The sequence below is a fragment of the Homo sapiens genome, chromosome 4 (assembly GCF_000001405.40).
Source record: "Homo sapiens chromosome 4, GRCh38.p14 Primary Assembly".
Taxonomy (NCBI): Eukaryota; Metazoa; Chordata; class Mammalia; order Primates; family Hominidae; genus Homo; species Homo sapiens.
In genome coordinates this window covers 82237767-82258297 of record NC_000004.12, presented here as the reverse complement: position 1 = coordinate 82258297, position 20531 = coordinate 82237767, and the positions used below count along the sequence as shown (strand labels likewise).

At 39.6% G+C, this 20531-nt stretch overlaps 1 long non-coding RNA gene across 3 annotated transcripts in view; it reads left to right on the top strand.

Moving 5' to 3' along the window:
- Positions 1-15344, top strand: part of LOC105377308 (uncharacterized) — a 42328-nt gene extending 26984 nt beyond the window's left edge. Inside the window, exons 1-3 of one of the 3 annotated variants that reach the window (XR_001741753.2) lie at positions 1619-1890; positions 11365-11483; positions 14114-15344. This is a non-coding gene — a long non-coding RNA (uncharacterized LOC105377308). Of the gene's footprint in view, positions 1-1618; positions 1891-11364 lie in introns of those variants that run through there. The other 2 variants (XR_938936.3, XR_001741754.2) reach the window with 2 other exon arrangements.
- The last annotated feature ends 5187 nt before the right edge of the window (positions 15345-20531 follow it).

Here is a 20531-nt window from a genome sequence, read left to right as displayed (position 1 = left end):
ATCACCTTTTTTGAGGTGATGAACTGTTCTAAAATTGGCGATGGTTGCACATATCTGTGAATTAAATCTTTGAACTAAAAATCATTGAGTTGTATACTCTAAATGGGTGAATTGTATGGTATGTAAGTTATAGCTCAGTAAAGCTGTTTTTTTTTTTTAAGATATCAAATCTACAATCTCATCTTCCATCTTAAAGTAGAAAAAGAAGAACAAAGCCGGGTGTGGTGGCTCACACGTGTAATCCCAGCACTTTCGGAGGCTGAGGTGGGTGGATTACTTGAGGTCAGGAGTTCCAGACCAGCCTGGCCAACATGGTAAAACCCCTTCTCAACTAAAAATACAAAAATTAGCCAAGTGTGGTGGCACGTACCTGTAATCTCAGCTCCTTGGGAGGCTGAGGCAGGAGAATTGCTTGAACCTAGGAGGGAGGCGGAGGTTGCAGAGAGCCAAGATCATACCACTGCACTCCAGCCTGGGTGACAGAGTGAGACTCTGTTTCCAAAAAAAGGAAAAGAACAAATGAAACCCAACATAAACAGAAAGAAAAAAATTAGACTGGCAATAATGAAATAGAGAATAGAAAAACAGTAAAGAAAATCAACAAAGCCCAGGTGCAGTGGCTCACACCTGTAATCCCAGCACTTTGGGAGGCTGAGGCGGGTGGATCACAAGGTCAGGAGATTGAGACCATCCTGGCCAACATGATGTGAAACCCCATCTCTACTAGAATACAAAAAAAAAAAAAATTAGCCGGGCATGGTTGTGCACACCTGTAGTCCCAGCTACTTGGGAGGCTGAGGGAGGGGAATAGTTTGGACCTGGTAGGCACAGGTTGCGTTGAGCCAAGATTGCGGCACTGCACTCCAGCCTGGTGACAGAGCAAGACTCCATCTCAAAAAAAAAAAAAAAAAAAAATCAACAAAACTAAATGCTGGTTCTTAGAAAAGACCAACAAAATTGAGTGAAAAAGTAACTAATAGGAAGTCAAATAAGAAAAATAAGAATTATTATTATTATCTTTAGAGATATGGTCTCATTCTATTGCTTAGGCTGGAGTGCAATGATGTGATCATAGTTCACTGCAGCCTTGAACTCCTGGGCTCAAACGATCCTCCCACCTCAGCTTCCTAAATAGCTGGGACTATAGGCGTGTATCACCACACCTGGCTAATTTTTAAATTTTTAGTAGAGATGGGATCTAGCTATGTTGTCCAGGCTAGTCTTGAACTCCTGGCCTCCAGCAATCCTCACGCTTCAGCCTCCCAAAGTGCTGGGATTACAGGTGCAAGCCACCGCACCTGGCCAAATAACTATTTATGTACTTGGGAAACTGGATTTGAGACCTAAATCTGCTACTAAGTTTCTGATGTGAGTTTGAGAATTTCCCTTAACCTTCTTAGGTTTCACTTCCTTATCTTTAAAATTAAAGCAGTTCATATGGATTCAATAAACTCTATTTCAACAAATTCAGCATTTGCAAGGTCCTACCATTAATAAGATATAATTCCTGTTGTGCCAGATGTGGAATTATTCTGTTTTGCAAACTGACATAAGCCAATCTGGCTATTGTCAACAGACAGATTCTCTCAGTAAATGTTGGTACCTGTGATCATTAGAGGTGGGTGGAAGCTGTATCTCCTTTGCTACAACCTTGCTACCTAGAGCTATTTTTTGATAAAAGCAAGCTTTGAATCAAATTTTGCCTCAGGTACAAGGATCTATTGTTCCGCAAGCACAAAAACAATTATATAGCCAGTTCATATAAGCACAGTGAAGTCCTCATTCTCTCTCCTTTCAGGTTTCTGAGCAAGATGCTTGCATGAAAGATTCAATCTAAGGCCAATGCAAAAATATTGTGAAAGCAGCAGGATCAGCTAGCCTTCCAGTTGGGTGAGGCAATCAAATTCTTTGTTTTGATGTAGGTAGGGGGAATCATAGCATTGAATGCACTTCTATTTCTAGAGTCAATTCTAAAGATGTTAAGCTGCTAGTCTTGGCTGATTCTTACATCAAAGGGCAGAAGTGACTGCACAATTTATTAAGCTAACTACACATTAAGAACATCACTCATTTCACCAATGAAACATTGTATCTAACCTTGTATCAGCTATCTGTTGCCACAGTGATACCGCATAACAAACAATCAGAAAGCCTTAGTGCATAAAAAATAAGTTTATTGCTCAAGTGCCTGAGTTCAGTGGAGGGTCAATTAAGCAGCTCATCTGATCTTGCCTGGGTTTGCCTACATATGTGGGGGTCAGTTGGCTGTTGGCTGGGGCTACTGGGGCAGCATAGTTTTGTTCCATGTGCCTGTCGTCCTCCAGAAGACTATGCAGGGCATGTTCTCATGGTGATAACAGAGATGCAAGACCAAATAAGCTCAATCAGCAAGCTCTTTCCAAGTGTGTGCTGATGTCATGTCTGCTAACATCCTATTGGCCAAAATAAATTATGTGACTGAGCTAGAGTCAAGGGGTGGGGCAAACACACTCTCCATAGTGGAAGGGCACTGGTGTTCTCACTGTGTTATTCTCTGTAATGTTGCTTGTTTCTGTTTTTGAATTAGGTGTAGAATTTTAAAAACCCAAGATAAAAGCAGTGAACATCATGTGGCTTTCATTATCCAAGGTCTGTGGCTGTGAATTAACACATGCCGTGAGTTCATATGTCAGAAAACTGCTTCAGTGTTGTATTCTAGTCATTGGTGTCCATGGAGGAAATATTTATCTACTGTTACACATCTTTATCAGCAGTGTTAGATACCATGGTTTAAATGGTACTGGAAAATGATTTTTAAATCTGGCTTATCTTTTGAGGCTATCAGTCTTCAAATAGTGAGTCTTGCTGGGGCTCTATTAACTAGGCCAAATCAAGAACGCTTTGCTAACCTGTGAAGTTGGAGAATAGAAATGGAGAAAGTTGAACATCATGTAAGCTAATTTTTGTATTGTCCACTTGGTGGTAGAATTGTTTTCAGGAAGTAGTGTGAAGAGTAATGAGCCAAGTACAAGAGAAATAGAATGTTATGAATTCTTAGCCAGGAGAAAAATGCAGCACATGTTTTAAATAGGTATTCTAATCAGCATTATTACTTTTATTAAAGTATAAAAGATAGTATAATCCAGGGTAGGTGTGTTTATATAATAAGTTTTAAATGTTTTTAATTTTTTTTAAGGAGTAGTGATAATTCTATTTCCCAACACATCAAATGCAGCTACTTGCTTACTGGTTAGAGTTCGGTGCTCAGAAATACAGATTTTAGAGATTGTCTTAATTTGGGTATTCCTTAGCACCATTTAATCTTTTCTTTCTCCTATTAAAATTAGAAAAGTTCTTGTATATAACACTACTCTTACAATGTTATGTAAGTCCTTCCTACTCAAATTGTGCCGGGAGTTCACGATCAGTCTGGGCAATATGGCAAAACCCTGTCTCTACAAAAAAGAAAATACAGAAATTAGCCAGGCATGGTGGTGCACACCTGTAGTCCCAGCTACTTAGGAGGCCGAGGCAGGAGGATTGATTGAGTCTGGGAGGTCGAGGCTGTAATGAGCCGTGATCATGCCATTGCACTCCAGCCTGGGCAACAAGCAAGACCCTGTCTCAACAAAACCCCCAAAACAAAAAACAAAAAACAAAGTGTGGTGAGCAACATTGGCATCACTTGGGAGCTTGTTAAAAACATGTAGAATCTTGGCTTTCATTCCACACCTACTCAAACAGACTGAAATTTAACAAGGAGAATCTCCCAGGTGATTTGAGTATAGTTTTACATGCACTGTTCTCCACTGGTAGAATGCAAACAGTGGATGATGAGGTACGAAGTGAAGAAAAGTGGGACAGATATCAGGACTGGAACCATTTAACAGGTATTCATGGATCTATTCTGAACTTTCAATTGCCCATGCTCCAGCACTGTAGATTGTGTTTAAGAAGCCATCTGTAGTTCTTTTAGATTCTAAAAGAAAGAAGGCAGAGTGTGTCACTAATTCACCAACTTATCAATCAATCATCAAAATACAGGAGATTCTATTTTGGCCTAGCCAGCCACTGATGGTGTGACATTTAGTAGGGCATTAATCTCTGAGTCCTTAGCATCCTTATCTGAAAACAATGAGATGGTTGGGCAAGTTCATCCTTTTCAGCTTTTTGGAAGATGCTATGCTTTTAGGCAGGGTTGATAGTCAACTGGTAAACACAGGTGGCCCTGTCCCCATCTTTAGACTGGGTTTTGTTTGGACTGGCTGGTGCCAGTCACCTACTGGTACTTAGGTGGTTTGAATATTTTTCCAAACAATGATTATAGGGGAACTTGCCAGGTGCAGTGGCTCTGCCTGTAACCCTAGCACTTTGGGAGGCCAAGATGGGAGGATCGTTTGAGCCTTGAAGTTTGAGACCAGCCTGGGAAACATAGCAAGACTCTGTCGCTATCAAAAAATTTTTTTAGGCTTGGTGCAGTGGCTCACACTTGTAATCCCAGCCCTTTGGGAGGCTGAGGTGGGCAAATTGCTTGAGCCCAGGAGTTTGAGATCAGCCTGGGCAACATGGTGAAACCCCATCTCCACTAAAAACACAAAAATTATCCAGGTGTGATGTTATGTGTCTGTAATCCCAGCAACTCGGGAGGCTGAGATGAGGGGATTGCTTAAGCCTGGGAGGTCGAGGCTGCAGTGAGCTGTGATCATGCCACTGCACTTCAGCCTGGGTGGCAGTGAGACTCTGTCTAAAAACATTTATTTTTCTAAATTTAAAAAATAATGATAGGGGAGCTAAGTGTCAGGGACTGTTAGGGACTAAGTAGTACCATCATAGGTTCCAGAGTACTTGCTTGTCATGGACTCAGATACATGTCTATGTAGAACTGAGGAATCAGAAAGTTGAATTAGGCGGAGCAGAGAATGGAAGATACATGGGCTTTAGTGTCAGTCTTGGGTTTCTATGCTAGTTCTGTTGTTTACTAGTTATATGGTTTTGAGTATATTACCTGAAATCACTTAGTATCTTTTTTAGGCTATAACATGAGATTAACATAATAATAACATGTACCTCAAAGTAAAATTGTGAGGAATTAATAAGAGAATTTATGTAGAGGGTCTGGCAAGTGGCAGATGCTCAGTAGATGTTAGTTTCCTTTTCACATGTGTGTCCATACCCAAATAGCTTGTATGTAGAGCTTTACTTCTGCAAACTTCTATAAGGTGATACAGCAAATGAACAAAGACACCAGGTACCTTAATAAATTACAAAAAAAGCTAATCATTAGGGCAATTCTAGTTGGGGTGGAGGGAGGTTATACATTCACCTGAAACTCTTGCCAAAATCAAAGATGGACTTTCTTCTTTCAGCCAGTGATCTTTCAACATTTTTGCTTGCATGCTCTCTTCAAGCATTTTGAAAAAAACAAACACAAAAATAGCTATGTATTCCACATACATTTTAGAGTTGACATCTAAAATTAATCATCATAAGTTTAAATAGTTGCAAAGGATGTAATTTCTGGCATATATAAATATTGCCATTTGAAAATAAAACTATTGTTTATCTATCATAGATTAGAATATTTAAAGCAAGAAGCAAGAAGCACACTGGGAAATACCAATTTACAAGGTGGACCATTCTGAATTTTTACAGTTCTTAGTGAGAAACAGCTTGGTGAGGACTTGCTTTCCCAGCATCTCATTCTGTGTCCTGGGTGCTCCTTTAGGTTTATTTCAAGGAAGAGAAGGTGAAAGTTTACATATTTATTCCTGACAGTTCAACGCTGCATCTTTGAATAAAAGCTGGGGTTGGCAAACTTTTTTATTTTTATTTTTTTGAAGAGGAGTCTCGCTTTTGTCACCCAGGCTACAGTGCAATGGCACGATCTTGGCTCACTGCAACCTCTGCCTGTCGGGTTCAAGCAATTCTCCTGCCTCAGCCTCCCGAGTAGCTGGGATTACAGGCGCCTGCCACCACACCTGGCTATTTTTTTTGTATTTTTAGTAGAGACGGGGTTTCACCATGTTGGCCAGGCTGGTCTCGAACTCCTGACCTCAGATGATCCACCTGCCTCTGCCTTCCAGACTGTTGGGATTACAGGTGTAAGCCACCGCACCTGGCCGGCAAACTTTTTCTTTTCTTTTTTTTTTTCTTTCTTTATTTTATTATTATTATACTTTAAGTTTTAGGGTACATGTGCACAATGTGCAGGTTAGTTACATATGTATACATGTGCCATGCTGGTGTGCTGCACCCATTAACTTGTCATTTAGCATTAGGTATATCTCCTAATGCTATCCCTCCCCACTCCCCCCACCCCACAACAGTCCCTGGAGTGTGATGTTCCCCTTCCTGTGTCCATGTGTTCTCATTGTTCAATTCCCACCTATGAGTGAGAACATGCGGTGTTTGGTTTTTTGTCCTTGCGATAGTTTACCGAGAATGATGATTTCCAATTTCATCCATGTCCCTACAAAGGACATGAACTCATCATTTTTTATGGCTGCATAGTATTCCATGGTGTATATGTGCCACATTTTATTTCTCAAACTTTTTCTTAAAGGACAAAATAGTACATACTTTAGGCTTTGAGGGTCATACAGCCTCTGTTGTAATTACTCAGGTCTCCCATTGCAATGTGAATGCGGCCATAGGCAATACATAAATGAATGAACAGGCCTATGTTCCAATAAACTATGTACTCTTTTAGCAGTCACTCCTCATCTCCCCCATCACACTCATAACCCCTATGTCCCATCCTCTGCCCCCATCCCTAGGCAACCACTTACCTACTTTCTGTCTCTGTGCATTTACCTATGCTGGACTTTTGGAAGCCTAGAGCTCGCTCTGTGATTTTGTAAAAACCCAATTCTCTATATTAAATCTCTTTTTGCTTAAAATGCCTTGAGTGGTTTCTGTTTCTTGTACTGAACCCTAAGTGGTTCAGAGTTAAAGGAGAAAAATGAAGAATTTTCATCTTTTAAAGAAGAGGTTTTTGTTTTTTTTTTTTTTTTCTGAGAAGGAGTCTTGCTCTGTCGCCCAGGCTGGAGTGCAGTGGCATGATCTTGGCTCACTGCAACCTCTGCTTCCTGGGTTGAAGTGATTCTCCTGCCTCATCCTCCTGAGTAGCTGGGATTACAGGCATGTGCCACCACTCCCAGCTATTTTTTTTTTTTTAATGGAGTCTCGCTCTGTTGCCCAGACTGGGGTGTACTGGTGTGATCTTGGCTCACTGCAACCTCCACCTCCCAGGTTCAAGCTATTCTCCTGCCTCAGCCTCCTGAGTAGCTGGGATTACAAGCACGCACCACCACGCCCGGCTTAGTTTTGTATTTTTAGTAGAGACAGAGTTTCACCATGTTGATCAGGCTGGTCATGAACACTTGACCTTGTGATCCACCCGCCTCGACCTCCCAAAGTGCTGGGATTACAGGCGTGAGCCACTATGCCTGGCCTAATTTTTGTATTTTTAGTAGAGATTGGGTTTCACCATGTTGGCCAGGCTGGTCTTGAATTCCTAGCTTCAAGTGATCCGCCCTCCTCGGCCTCCCAAAGTGCTGGGATTACAGGCGTGAGCCACTGCGCCTGGCCAAGAGCTTGTTTTTTAATGAGTGATAATGAGTCTCAAATTGCTATATTTAGATTCGATTGTACACATGTTAAGACACCAATACAGCACGCCAAAAATTATCCTTTTAAACTAATTATAATAAAAATTTAGATGTTTCACTTAAAACTATGCAGAAGAGCACTAAAGTCCTAATGGCAAGCTCACTAGTTTTGCAAATTTCTTAGAGGTGAAATGCAAGTGCAGGAGTCTGAAGACTTGCTTCAGGCTGCACATGATTATCTCCAGAATGTTCTTGGAACCTAAGCCTTTGACTTTATACTTTCTGGCTTCATTCTTTAAAATATGTCTATTAGCATTACAAGTCATTTTTGTTTGATTCCTTAAATGTCAAAACACCATGTATTTATTATTTAAAACTTTCTAACAATACAGACATGAAGGTTCTACCTTTAACTACACTTTCTAGGGGTCACCGTGATTAACATATTTTATCCTTTGAGATCTTTCTCTGAGACAGGATCTGTAAGGGAAACTTACTCTGTATAGTAGATGACTTCTTGAGGTGTCTCCGAGGATCTAAGATCTACATACAAAATTAGTGTATTTCTTTGAAAGCCTAGCACAGTGCCCTACCTGTGGTACTTAAATGAATCTTTGTTGATACTCTTCTCCAATTTAAATGATTCAGAGCCGTGACAAGGAGTTAAAAAGTAAATCATTTAAGACATGAGTCTGAACTGCACATCTTTATAAGATCCTCTGCACAGCCAGTGCTTTTTTTTTTTTTGTAATTACGTTATTCACCTTTTAAAGAATGTGGATACCTATAACACAGAAATAACAAATGTCTTTTTTTGTCGTGTTATTTTTGTGATGTGAACAAAATGAGGTGATACTTTATGCTATATCATATTCAGTAAAAATAATACTGATAATACCTGAATTTATAATTGTTTTATTAAGTGCTTTATATTTTACTTCATAGGACTTTGAAATGTATCTTATTTGATCCTAGTGAGGCAGACTTAATAAGGTCATGCGCATTTTAGAGATGAGTAAATAGAGGCTAACAGAGGTTCATCAACTTGTGAAGGTCACACAGTTAGTGGTAGAACTTCAACAAAAACATTTTGACCTTAATGTTCTTTTCCCTATGAATACACCTGACATTGTCTAGCAATTGCCTTTATTAATTGGGTAAGATGACTTTGGGGGACAATTTTGAGACAGTTGGCATATGCCTCTGCAATTTTTGCTTATTATTGCATCACTTTCTCGTTTTGGAAGCCAAATGATAGTTTAGCACAGTTACTATAACTCAATAAATTAGTTGTGGCCTGATGAGGGTGCTCTTATCCAATGCATGATTTGAGAATTGATGTTCAATCTAGTTTATAACATCACATATTGCTTAAGTAAATGAGTGTGTGAGTATATTTATCTTGGACCAAATAGAGTATTTTAGTTTAGATCTTCCTCTCTTTTCCTACCTGTGCAAAGAACTGGAACCTCCACTTTCCCCCTTATTCTGAAGACACCACAGTGTAGTTTTAAAATAATAATGAACCTTCCAGAGATCAGATTGATTTAACTCTGATTCTGGAGGGAGAGTATGGGAATATGGGAAGGGAGGCTGGATCTGTCCAGCACTGAGAATGGTCAGCAGCTGAGGAAACTCCTTTAAAAAGCCCTTCTGACCCTCTTCTCCCAACCCCAGTCCTAGCAGTCCGGGCATCACATAGGTACGATTCCTTTGTGCATGTCCTCAGCTCTTAGATTAGCTTCCCTAAACTTTTGGCTGACGACAAAAGTTCTGAAGTGTAGATCTGTCCTTCTTGATTTACTGATGGAAAAATTACCTTTAGGTTCTGCTTTTGTATCCTATCTGCTCATTTATGCACTGACATGGATAACGCCTTCCTGGCTGGACCTTCTTCTCCGCTTCCGCCATCATACACACACACACACACACACACACACACACACACACACACACACACACACACGTCTCTCTCGAGCAGGTGCCGTTCCACCCCCTAATCCTGGGAGGCTCTAGATAGTACAGGAACATCCTGTGCTCTGTCAACCCATTAAGCACTTTCATTGGCTTGCCTCTGGACAATACAATAATTTATTGAAACCCATTATAACTTGGAACATTTGATTCCTTAAATTAAATAGTATCAGACAGCAGTGACTCTGCCACTTCCTAGCCTGGAAACTCTGGACAAGTTACCTAACTTCTTTAGTTTTCGGTTTCCTCTTTTACAGAGTAGGGCTAATATGATAGTGCCTACCTTAATGTGTGGTTGTGACAATTTAAAGATTCTGTAGGAAAACCAGTTCACTTATGGCCTGATCATTATGTCTAGAATATCCTTTAAAATAAACTGACTTTATACTTTGTGGCTTCAATCTTTTAAAAAAAGTTTTTTAACTTTTAGAAATAATTTTTCTTTGATTCCTTAAATCAGTGGTCCCTAATGTTTTTGGCACCAGAGACCAGTTTTGTGGAAGACAATTTTTCCATGGACTGGGGAGGTGGGGTGCAGGGACATGGTTTTGGGATGATTCAAGTGCATTACATTTATTGTGCACTTTATTTCTATTATTATTACATTGTAATATAAAATGATGTAATTATACCACTCACCATAATGTAGAATCAGTAGGAGCCCTGAGCTTGTTTCCTGTAACTAGACGGTCCCATCTGGTGGTGATGGGAGACAGTGACAGATCATCAGGTATTAGATTCTCATAAGGAGTGTGCAACCTAGATTCCTCACAGGCACAGTTCACAATAAGGCTTGTGCTCCTATGAGAATCAAATGCTGCTGCTGATCTGACAGGAGGCGGAGCTCAGGCAGTAATGGGAGCCATGGGGAACAGCTGTAAATACAGATGAAGCTTTGCTCACTCACCTGCCACTCACCTCCTGCTGAGCAGCCCAATTCCTAACAGGCCATGGACTGGTACTGGTCTGTGGCCTGGGGGTTGGTGACCCCTACCTTAAATGATAAGACATCATGTATTTATTATTGATATATGACAAATACTCAGTATTGTTAAACATACTTGGTCATAGGCACCAACTTTAGGGACCAGGGTATTTTGGAGTGGGGGCAGGACTAGTAAGAATAATCTTAGGAACAATAGCTTGAAATAGGGACCAAAGAATAGATCCTATAAAGTCAAAAGCAGGAACTTAATGATAAAAACTTAGGGTAGGGGGAGAGATTCAGGGTCCACACAGGAAATTAGTTATCATTTTGGGATATAGCATCTTGGGTATAAGTGGCAGTAAAGGGTGCTCGGATTACATTGGGAATCCCAGTCATTCCCTCCCTAAGCAGCCTAATAGGAAGGATGACTCAGTGTGAAACCTCCCCAGGTTGAGTGCTGGAGCAGCTCAGGGAAACTCGGATCAGTCCATGCATTATACTCAGAAAGGCAGAGGTAGAAAAATCTACAGATTGGCACCTGAAATGATAAAATACAAGTATTTGCCTTCCTCCCCCAGCGTTTTACTCTTTCACAGTTTATTTTTATACATTTGAGATGATGTAGGTGCCCAGGATTTTTCTAGTCAAGAAAGTGCTCATTTGGAGATCTCAGATATTTTTGGTTTGGCACACTCTTTATAGTAATGGATTACTGAATTCCAGAGCATTTGAAATGATACAATTGATATGATTTTTAGTGCTGAAAAAAGAGGACTCTCCCAATATATATATAACCTTTCAGTGATGTTCTTTTTCTTACCATCACTAAGTTGGTGTTTTAAACTTATCCTTGTCTTCTTTCTCTGTTTTCAGCTTCTTAAATGCTGCATTGAAAGGATGAAACAGAACGGATGTGAACAAGAGTTCCCTGAGAAAGGACAGCTCTTAGAGAGATAGGATAATTACTGGACTCAAGAAGATACCAAATCATGGTGTGCATTTCTGCGTTGTGTTTGGAAGAGGAACTAGGATTGTTATGAAAAGGAAGGATGTGTTCAACTTAGAAGAATTAAACCTCAACCATCTGTCTCTTCCAAATGGCATTCTTGATTCTAAAAATCTTAAGTAGAGTGTAAAGTTATTGTTGGATACTGTAGTAGCCAGGCTAAGCTGAGCTATTCAGTGGAACAGATAAACCCGAAAATCTCAGTGGCTTAACACAACAAGATTTATTTCTTTTTAGTATCACAATCTGATGTAGATTGGGTTGGTCTCCTGCTTGGCTTTCCATCAAGTGACAGCTCAGGGATCCAAGTTGCTTTTATTTGGAAACTGTCATCTTGAGAGCATTTTGTTTCCAGCTGTATGGACAGGAGATCCAGAAGGTGTGGAGAAGTGCATCCTTCCTGGATCACAAATGATACATCACTTTAGCTCACATTCCATTGTTAAGAATTAGTGACATGATCCCACTGGGATTCATGGGGTCTGGGATATGGAACACTTGGATATTTGGCGAGCATGAACAATCTTTGCCATAGAAACATTGCCTCTATAATGTTATTCTATATCCCTTATCTTCTCATGGTAGATTTCACATAGGATTAGTATCAGGAAAACGTTTTTCTCTCCTAAAATGTTGGTATTCTTCTTTTTTCCCTCTGGAGTCAGGAACTTTAGATTTAATATTAATGACTATCTAATCTGAGATTTTTAGTAGCATCATGTATCCTATTTCTCTATTGTGTTTCTGGAATAGTTTTATTATTGTATTTTAACTGACTAACTGTATTTGATTTTTTAAAAATTGCCATAATCCTTTCTAGTTTTAGCTGTTCATTTAATGAACACTTACCAATAGCAGATGTGTTGATAAGGATGAAGGATGTTTTTGGCTGCAACAGAAAAACTAATAAGTGGTTTAAGCAATAAGAGTTTAATTATCTGACACAAGAAGTCTGGCAGTTTCAGGATAGGTTAATTCAATGGTGTGATATCATAGAGGATCATGTATACTCACTTTTTCTGTTTTATAAACTTCAGCGTTTGATGGTGTTCCCCCTTCCTGTCACATACAGGTTAGTAGTTCCAAGTGTTGCTTGTCATGGTAGACCCTAGTCAGGCCTGGGTCTTGTGACGCAGGAGACAAATATGCTCATAGACTTGTCGTTATGACATGGCTGCAGTGTGGTGCCACCAGGCCTGCATCACGCCTACTCATCATATAATATTAGATTATATAGTCTGTGGAAAATGTTGCAAAATGATACTGGTGGCAGGGTCAGAAATTGTATTCAGACTTTGATGTTAGATCCAGGCAAATGGCTTGTTGAAAAGAGATTTCTCTTTAGAGAGAAATCATGTTGGTGTACCAGGTGACATGTTTGGTTGGGGGTGGGGTGGGGGGACTGCTTGGATAGCATGGTAGTGATAGAAGTGTGATAAGCTGGATGCTGGATATAGTTAGAAGGATTTACTGATCAATTGGATGTGAGGAGTGATATAGAGAGAGATGTTGGGAATGACTCCAAGTTTTGGCCTGAGTGATGGGAAAAATTGAGTTGCTATTTATCAAGATAGGGAAGACCAATGAGTTTGGTGCTGTCATAAAATAAAATGTATCAGATTTTTAGCAACAACTGGAAGTAAGACATTGCAAGGAGTCTGGGCTGGGCTGAGATAGAGTTCAGATGGGGAGCTGGAATCAGACTGCTGCCCCAGGTCCTGGGACCCTGCCATGCAGAAAAGACACCTGGCATGGGCAAGGACTCCAGTATGCCGGAGCCTCTTCCTCCTTTCTCAGGCCAAATTTGTGTCCTTGCAAAATTTGGCTACAAATGTTAAATTTACAAAGACCTCTGATACCCATTATCCCACCCAACTCTCTGGAGAGCCTTTGTAATGTGGTAACTGCTCTTATGCACATAGCCAAAGACTTGAAAACAGTCTCAGAAAAGCTGTAATTTCTACCTTCATTCATTTAAAGAAAACTTACTAAACACTTATTTATTTATTTTTATTTTATTTATTTATTTATTTTTGAGGCACAGTCTCAGTTTGTTGCCCAGGCTGGGGTGAAGTGGCACGATCTCGGCTCACTGCAACCTCTGCCTCTCGGGTTCAAGCGATTCTCCTGCCTCAGCCTCCCAAGTAGCTGGGACTACAGTCATGCACCACCACCCCCGACAAATTTTTGTACTTTTGGTGGAGACAGGGTTTCACCATGTTGGCCAGGCTGGTCTCGAACTCCTGACCTCAAGGGACCTGACTGCCTCTGCCTCCCAAAGTGCTGGGATTACAGGCATGAGCCACTGTGCCTGGTCCCAAACATCTATTAGGTACTTGCTGTATGTGGTGAAATAAACCCCAGCTCTCCTGATTCAAGGTTAGTGTTCTTTTCACAAATCTACTTCAATACATCAAATCCTACTTCTCTTTCTTTCTATATTTAACTCATAAATATTCCTCTTCTGTCATTTGTGGTTTTGAAATGTCTGCAAACTCATGGATACTATTCACTTCTAATGAATAGAATAAAGCAGAAGTGATGGAATATAACTTCAGAGGCCATTTCATGAAAGCCACTGTGGCTTCCTACTTGTTCTCTTGCTCTCTCTCTTAGAACACTTGCTCTGGGGAAAGCCAGCTGCCATATTGTGAGCAGACCTATGAAAAGGCCCACTTGGTGAAGAACTGAGGCCTCTGGCTGATGGACACATGGGTGACCTTGCAATCAAGTCTTCTGGCTTCAACCAAGCCTTCAGCTGAGACTGCAGCCTCATGAAAGATCCTGAGCTAGAAGCATCCTGCCATCCTAATAAGCCACTCTTGAATTTCTGACCCTTAAAAATTGTGAGATAAGCACCTGTGCTTTTTTTAAGTGTTAGATTTAAAAAACCCTGAAAAAATAAAGAAGAAAAAAGACAACTCATAATCTCACCACATTAAAAAGAATAGCTATAGAAAAATTCCAGTAGTATAAAAAGGAAAAATGGAAATAACTTCCCACCATCCCTGATCTTTAGTTCTTTTTCCCACAGTGACATTTTCTTTCCCAAGAAATGTTCATGCATATGCAATATATGTGTAAACCCTTTAAGATGTTCACAAAAGGATCATGTTACACTCATTCGAAAAACTTAATATTATATCTTGAAGGTGTCTTCATATCAGTATATATATATCTATCTTAGTTTGTTAATAGATTTCCCATAATTTAAATGTACCATATTTCTTTTACCAGTCCCCATATATGGACATTTAGGATATTTCCAGTATTCTTTTCTGTTATAAAAATATGGTGATAAACATTTTCATGCTTTTTTGAGTATCTTCAAGTAAAGTCCTATGGGTAGCATTCTGGCATCACGTTGTATATGCATTTAAAGTTGATGCTATTCACTTGTTCCACAATCTTTGCTCCGAGTTTACACTGATGAAGCATGAGAATGCTATATCCCCACAAACCTGTGCATATTGTTGATAGTAAGCATTGTTTGCTATTTTCTGACTATTCATTTTTCTTCTTTTGAGAATTGCCATGCCTAGAAGAGTGCCTGTCTTGTAATATATAAGATAATAACTTGATAGCTAGCATTTCTGAGGCTTCTTGTGCCTTTAACGTATATTTACTGTTTTGATACTTACAAAGACCCTATGAAGTACGTACTATTATTATCTGCTTATGGCTGGTGGGAAAACTGAGCTGTACAGAATTTAAACAAACTGTCCCAGGTCACACAACTAGGAAGGGTGGAGCCAGGATGCAAATGATACGGAATTTTAAAAAATGGGTAGTTGAGTGAATGAATAAATGGATGACCTGTTTACATCCTTTCTCATTTTTAATTGAATTTTGTTTCTTTTTCTTTCTTATTTGTAGGATCTTTGTATATATTATGAACATCAACTTCTTTCCTTTTCTACATGTTGCAGATATTCCCTCTGGTCTGTTATTTGTCTTTAACTTATTTATTTGCCACCTTTTGATATTCATTTCTTATTCACATTAGAAAACCCTCAAAGTACTTAAAACTATGACTCCAGATATTGTTGTTAGAACATGTTTGAGGAAAATAGTGATGATAATTTAGGTGTACAGAGAAATTCTGACGTGGGTAATACAGAGTCTCCCTAAGTTAATCTAAACATGAAAAATAACCACAGGGGAATTAGTCGCTTTGTTCACACTGCGGTACTTTAACATTATAATTCCCCTTTAGGCATATTTATAATTGAAAAAGAAGGTGTTGGGGGCTTTTATATTATTAGATTGACATTTGGGGAAATGAATTTTTACTTTATCTGCAACAAATGAATCCCAATTAGTTAAGTGGCTCTGGGCTAAAGGAAGTATAGTGACTTTCTCATTTTCTTTCTACTTTTTGAAATGCCCTTCCTTCCCATTCCTATGAACTTCTCTCATCCTGCTGAGCCAAGTCACATTTCGCTTTGCTTGAGGCCTCTAACCCTTCTCTGATGTCCTGAAGGATTCTTCAGGGAGACTCTATGGCAAACGTCTTTCTTTCCTGTGACAGCCCCACATTTGATTAGGTGTTCACTTTCCCTCCTGTGTCCTCAGGAATGTGATCATATCTCTAGCTTCGGAGTTTAAGTTTGAATTAGTCTAAGCCTAAGCCAGTGTTCTCAAACTCTAGCATGCATGAGATTCACTTGGGGAATGTATTAAAACACAGGCTGCTGAGCTGCACCCCCAGAATATCTGATTCCATAGGTCTTGGGTAGGGCATTTCTATCAAGTTTTGAGGGAATGCTGATGCTGATGGCCCAAGGACCAAACTTTGAGAATCAGTGTTCTAAGCCAGTCATGATGATCCAGTATTCTTTGCCCAGGATTCGTTTAGGAATGGACATGTGCCCCAAATCCTGGTCAATGGCACTGAGGGGACGTCTTCTGTAGAAGGGTTGTCTCACTAATAAATGCATGGATGGAGACCCTCCTTCTTTGCTGGGTATATTCCTGGGTTTTTGTAACATTTGGAAGTTCTGTGGTCAGTTTGTGAGCAGAAGGAAAGACTGTTGATAAATTGAGGATTGCAAAGTGAGCAGAAGAGTGGAGAGGATCTTGATCCTGGATGATGTCATTGTGCCACTGAAGAGCCAGCTCTGGATCCAGCCTAACCCTGGGCTTTTTTGTAGAGTTGTCATAGATACTTTGTGGAGTTTTATTAATAATTTGTGTTAAGCATTAAATAGCATTACATCTATAAAATACAGAGAATAACAATATATGAACACGCATTCACACAAAGCCTAGCATAAGAAAATGATATTACCATTACCCTTGCGGTCTCCCAAAGGCAATAATGGGTATTGAAGGTAATAAGGGGATGGAAGCTCCTGCTTCCCCTAACAAAATTTCCATCCCTGTAAAATTTGTGTACATCATTCTCTGGCTTTGTGTATGTGTTTTCAGTTCATTTGTTTTTAAATGTTTTTTTTTCCCACATGTATTTGTATTCTTAAAAGTATATTACTTAATTTTGCCTGGTCTTCAATATTGTACACATGGTATCATACTGCATATTTTTTTAACTTGTTTATGCTGGACATTATGTTTCTCAGATCCATTCATGTTGTTATTGCAATTTATTTGCTTTTACTGCTATATTCTGCTACATGACTCTTCTGTTAATGGATATTTTGATTGTTTCTAGAGTTTTCTATTCTTTCTGTATTTCTCCCTCTCTTTCTCTCCCTCTTTTTTTTTTTTAGAGTCAGGATCTTGCTTCTGTTGCCCAGACTAAGGTCCAGTGGCATGATCATAGCTCACTGCAGCCTCAAACTCTTGAGTTCAAGCCGATCCTCCCACCTCAGCCTCCTGAGTAGCTACAGGAGAGCACCACGACTCCTGACTATTCTTTTTTATTTTTAAAATTTTATTATTATTTTTTCCAAATAAAAAAAATAGAGACAGAGTCTTGCTATGTTGTCCAGGCTGCTCTCAAACTCCTGGGTCAAGTGATTCTTCTGCTTCGGCCTCCCGAAGTGCTGGGATTACAGGCACGAACCACCGTTCGTTCTTTCTTTCTTTCTTTCTTTTGTTCTTTCTTTCTCTCTTTCTTTCCTTCTTTCGTCTTTTCTTTCTTTCTTCTTTCTCTTTCTCTCCCTCCCTTCCTTCCTTTCCCTCCTCCTTCCTTCCTTCCTTTCGTTCTTTCTTTCCTTCTTTCTTTCTTTCATTCCCTCCCTCCCTCCATTTCTCTCTTTCTTTCTTTCCTTCGTTCCTCCCTCCCTCCCTTGCTCTTTCTTTCTTTCTTTTTCTTTCTTTCTTCCTTTCTTTCTCTTCCTTCCTCTCTCTCTTTCTTTCTCTTTTCTCTTCCTCTCTTCCTTCCTTTTCTCTCTCTCTCTCTCTCTCCCTCTCTTCTTTCCAGGGTCTGGTTATTCATGTGATCTCGGCTCACTGCAGCCTCAACTTGCCAGGCTCAAGTGATCCTCCCACCTCAGCCTTCCAGGCAGCTGGGACTACAGGCACACACCACTGTGCCCAGATAATTTTTATATTTTTCATAGAGATGGGTTTCGCCACATTGCCTAGACTGATCTCAAACTGCTGAGCTGAAGCGATCCTCCCATCTTGATCTCCCAAAGTGCTGGGATGACAGGCTTGCACCACTATGACCGGCAGTCTCCTATTTCCTATGGTGAACATGTGAGAGTGTTTTTCTACGGCAGCATTTCTCGAGTGATGTGCTTTGCACATTGCTGTGCTGCAAATGGGTTACAGGGGTGTGGAGATACTGATTCCCTCTGGCCCTTGGGGTGACTGGGCAGGGCCTGGGCAGTGATAGCCCTGGAGCATGTCACCCCCTGGCCCAGTCAACTCTGGTTCAGAGCAAGGAAGGCTTCCCTAAAGATGGAATTGCTGGGCTGCAGGAAGGTACTTTTCAACCCTGCTAAGGATGAAGTGATTCCCAAGATGCTTATATTTATTTATCCTCTTTCCATGGAAATAAGTGGTCTCTTGTTCTACATCCTTGAGAATCCTTGCTGTCTGACTTTAAAATTTTTGACGATATGTTGTTGTGAAATATTTCACTGAGATTTTAATTTGTATTTATATGATTATATTTTTGTATGTTCATTAGCTATTTGGCTTCCTTCTCTGAAATACTTAATTTTTTTGCCTGTTTTTTCCTATTTTTTTTTCTATTGGATTCCATGAATTTTACTTACTTATTTTTAGAAGTTCTTTATATATTTTAGATGTGAATTCTTTAATAATTATATAACCTACAAAGATCTTTCAGTGAAGACTTAATTTTTGACTCATTTTATTGTGCCTTTTGTTGAATAGAGTTTCTTAATTTTAAGTTACTCAAATTTATTATTTTATTTTATGGCTTCTGCTTTTTGTGTCTTGTTAAATAAATCCTTACTTTGAGTACACATTATCTTCTAACAGTTTTATAATTTTGCCTTTCACAGCTAAATGTATAATCCACCTGGAACTGGTGTGAGGAAAGAGGTCCAATTTATTATTATTACTATGATTATTATTTGAGGCGAGGTATTGTTACATTGCCCAGGCTGCCTTTGAACTCCTGGACTCAAGTGATCTTCCTGCCTCAGTCTCTTGAGTAGCTGTGACTACAGGTGCACACTCCTGTGTGCAGCTTTTATTATTTTTTTAATACAGTTAACCAATTATCCTAGGAGTATTTATTGGTGTCTGCCCTCTTCAGTGATCTATCTTACCAGCTCCATCGTATCAGGTTTCCATATGTGTGAAAACTGCCTATCCCTTCACCAATACCAGTATCTTAAAGCCTTGTAATAATTTTTGATATCTGGTAAGATAAGCCCCTTCACCTCCAACTTGTTCTTCTTTATTGCTTTCTTGGCTATTCTTAGCCCTTTGCTCTTCCATATTTTTTTTTAGAATCATGTAGCCAAGATCTGAAAAAGAGTAGCTTTTGGGAATTTGATTAGTGTTACATTCAAACCATGGATTGGTGTGATGAGAATTAACTTTTTTTTTTTTTTTTTTTGAGACAGAGTCTCACTCTGTCACCCAGGCTGGAGTGCAATGGTGCGATCTCAGCTCACTGCAACCTCTGCCTCCTGGGTTCAAGAGATTCTCCTGCCTCAGCCTCCCTAGTAGCTGGGATTACAGGTGCACGCCACCACGCCTGGCTAATTTTTGTATTTTTAGTAGAGACGGGGTTTCACTGTGTTGGTCAGGCTGGTCTTGAACTCCTGACCTCGTGATCCACCCACCTTGGCCTCCCAAAGTGCCTGGATTACAGGCGTACCACCACGCCTGGCCTGATAATTAACATTTTTATGATACTGAATTTTCTAATCTGTTAATATGATATTTAGCCTTTTTTTTTTTAAAATGAAGTTTTATAGTTTTATCAGAAAGGTATTGCTCATCTTCTAATAAGTTTATTATTAGGGACTTTATATGTTTTAGTGCTATTATATATGGTACGTATTCATTAAATATTTCCTTTTTGTTGAGAGTGAATGGAAATGCAATAGATTTTTATACCTTGATTTTGTATTGTTCAACTTTGCTAAACTCTTTTATTAACTCTCTTATAGGTTATTATTTAATCTTTTACATAGACAATTACATCATCTGTAAACATGACTGTTTGTTTCTTCCTTTTGATTCTTTATTTTTTTTTCTTGCATTACTATGCTGGTTAGGATACCCAACCAATGTTGAGTAAGAGTGGAAGTACAGGAACTCTTGTCTTCTTCCTAATCTTAAAGTGAATGCTTTTGGTATTCTTTTTTTTTTTTTTTTTTTTTAGTCAGTCTTGCTCTGTCGCCTAGGCTGGAATGCAGAGGCGTAATCTTGGTTCACTGCAACCTCTGTCCTATGGGTTCAAGTGATTCTCATGTCTGAGCCTCCTGAGTAGCTGGGACTACAGGCACCCGCCACCACGCCTGGCTAATTTTTGTATTTTTAGTAGAGACAGGGTTTCACCATGTTGGCCAGGCTGGTCTCAAACTCCTGACCTCAAGTGATCCGCCTACCTCAGCCTCCCAAAGTGCTTGGATTACAGGCA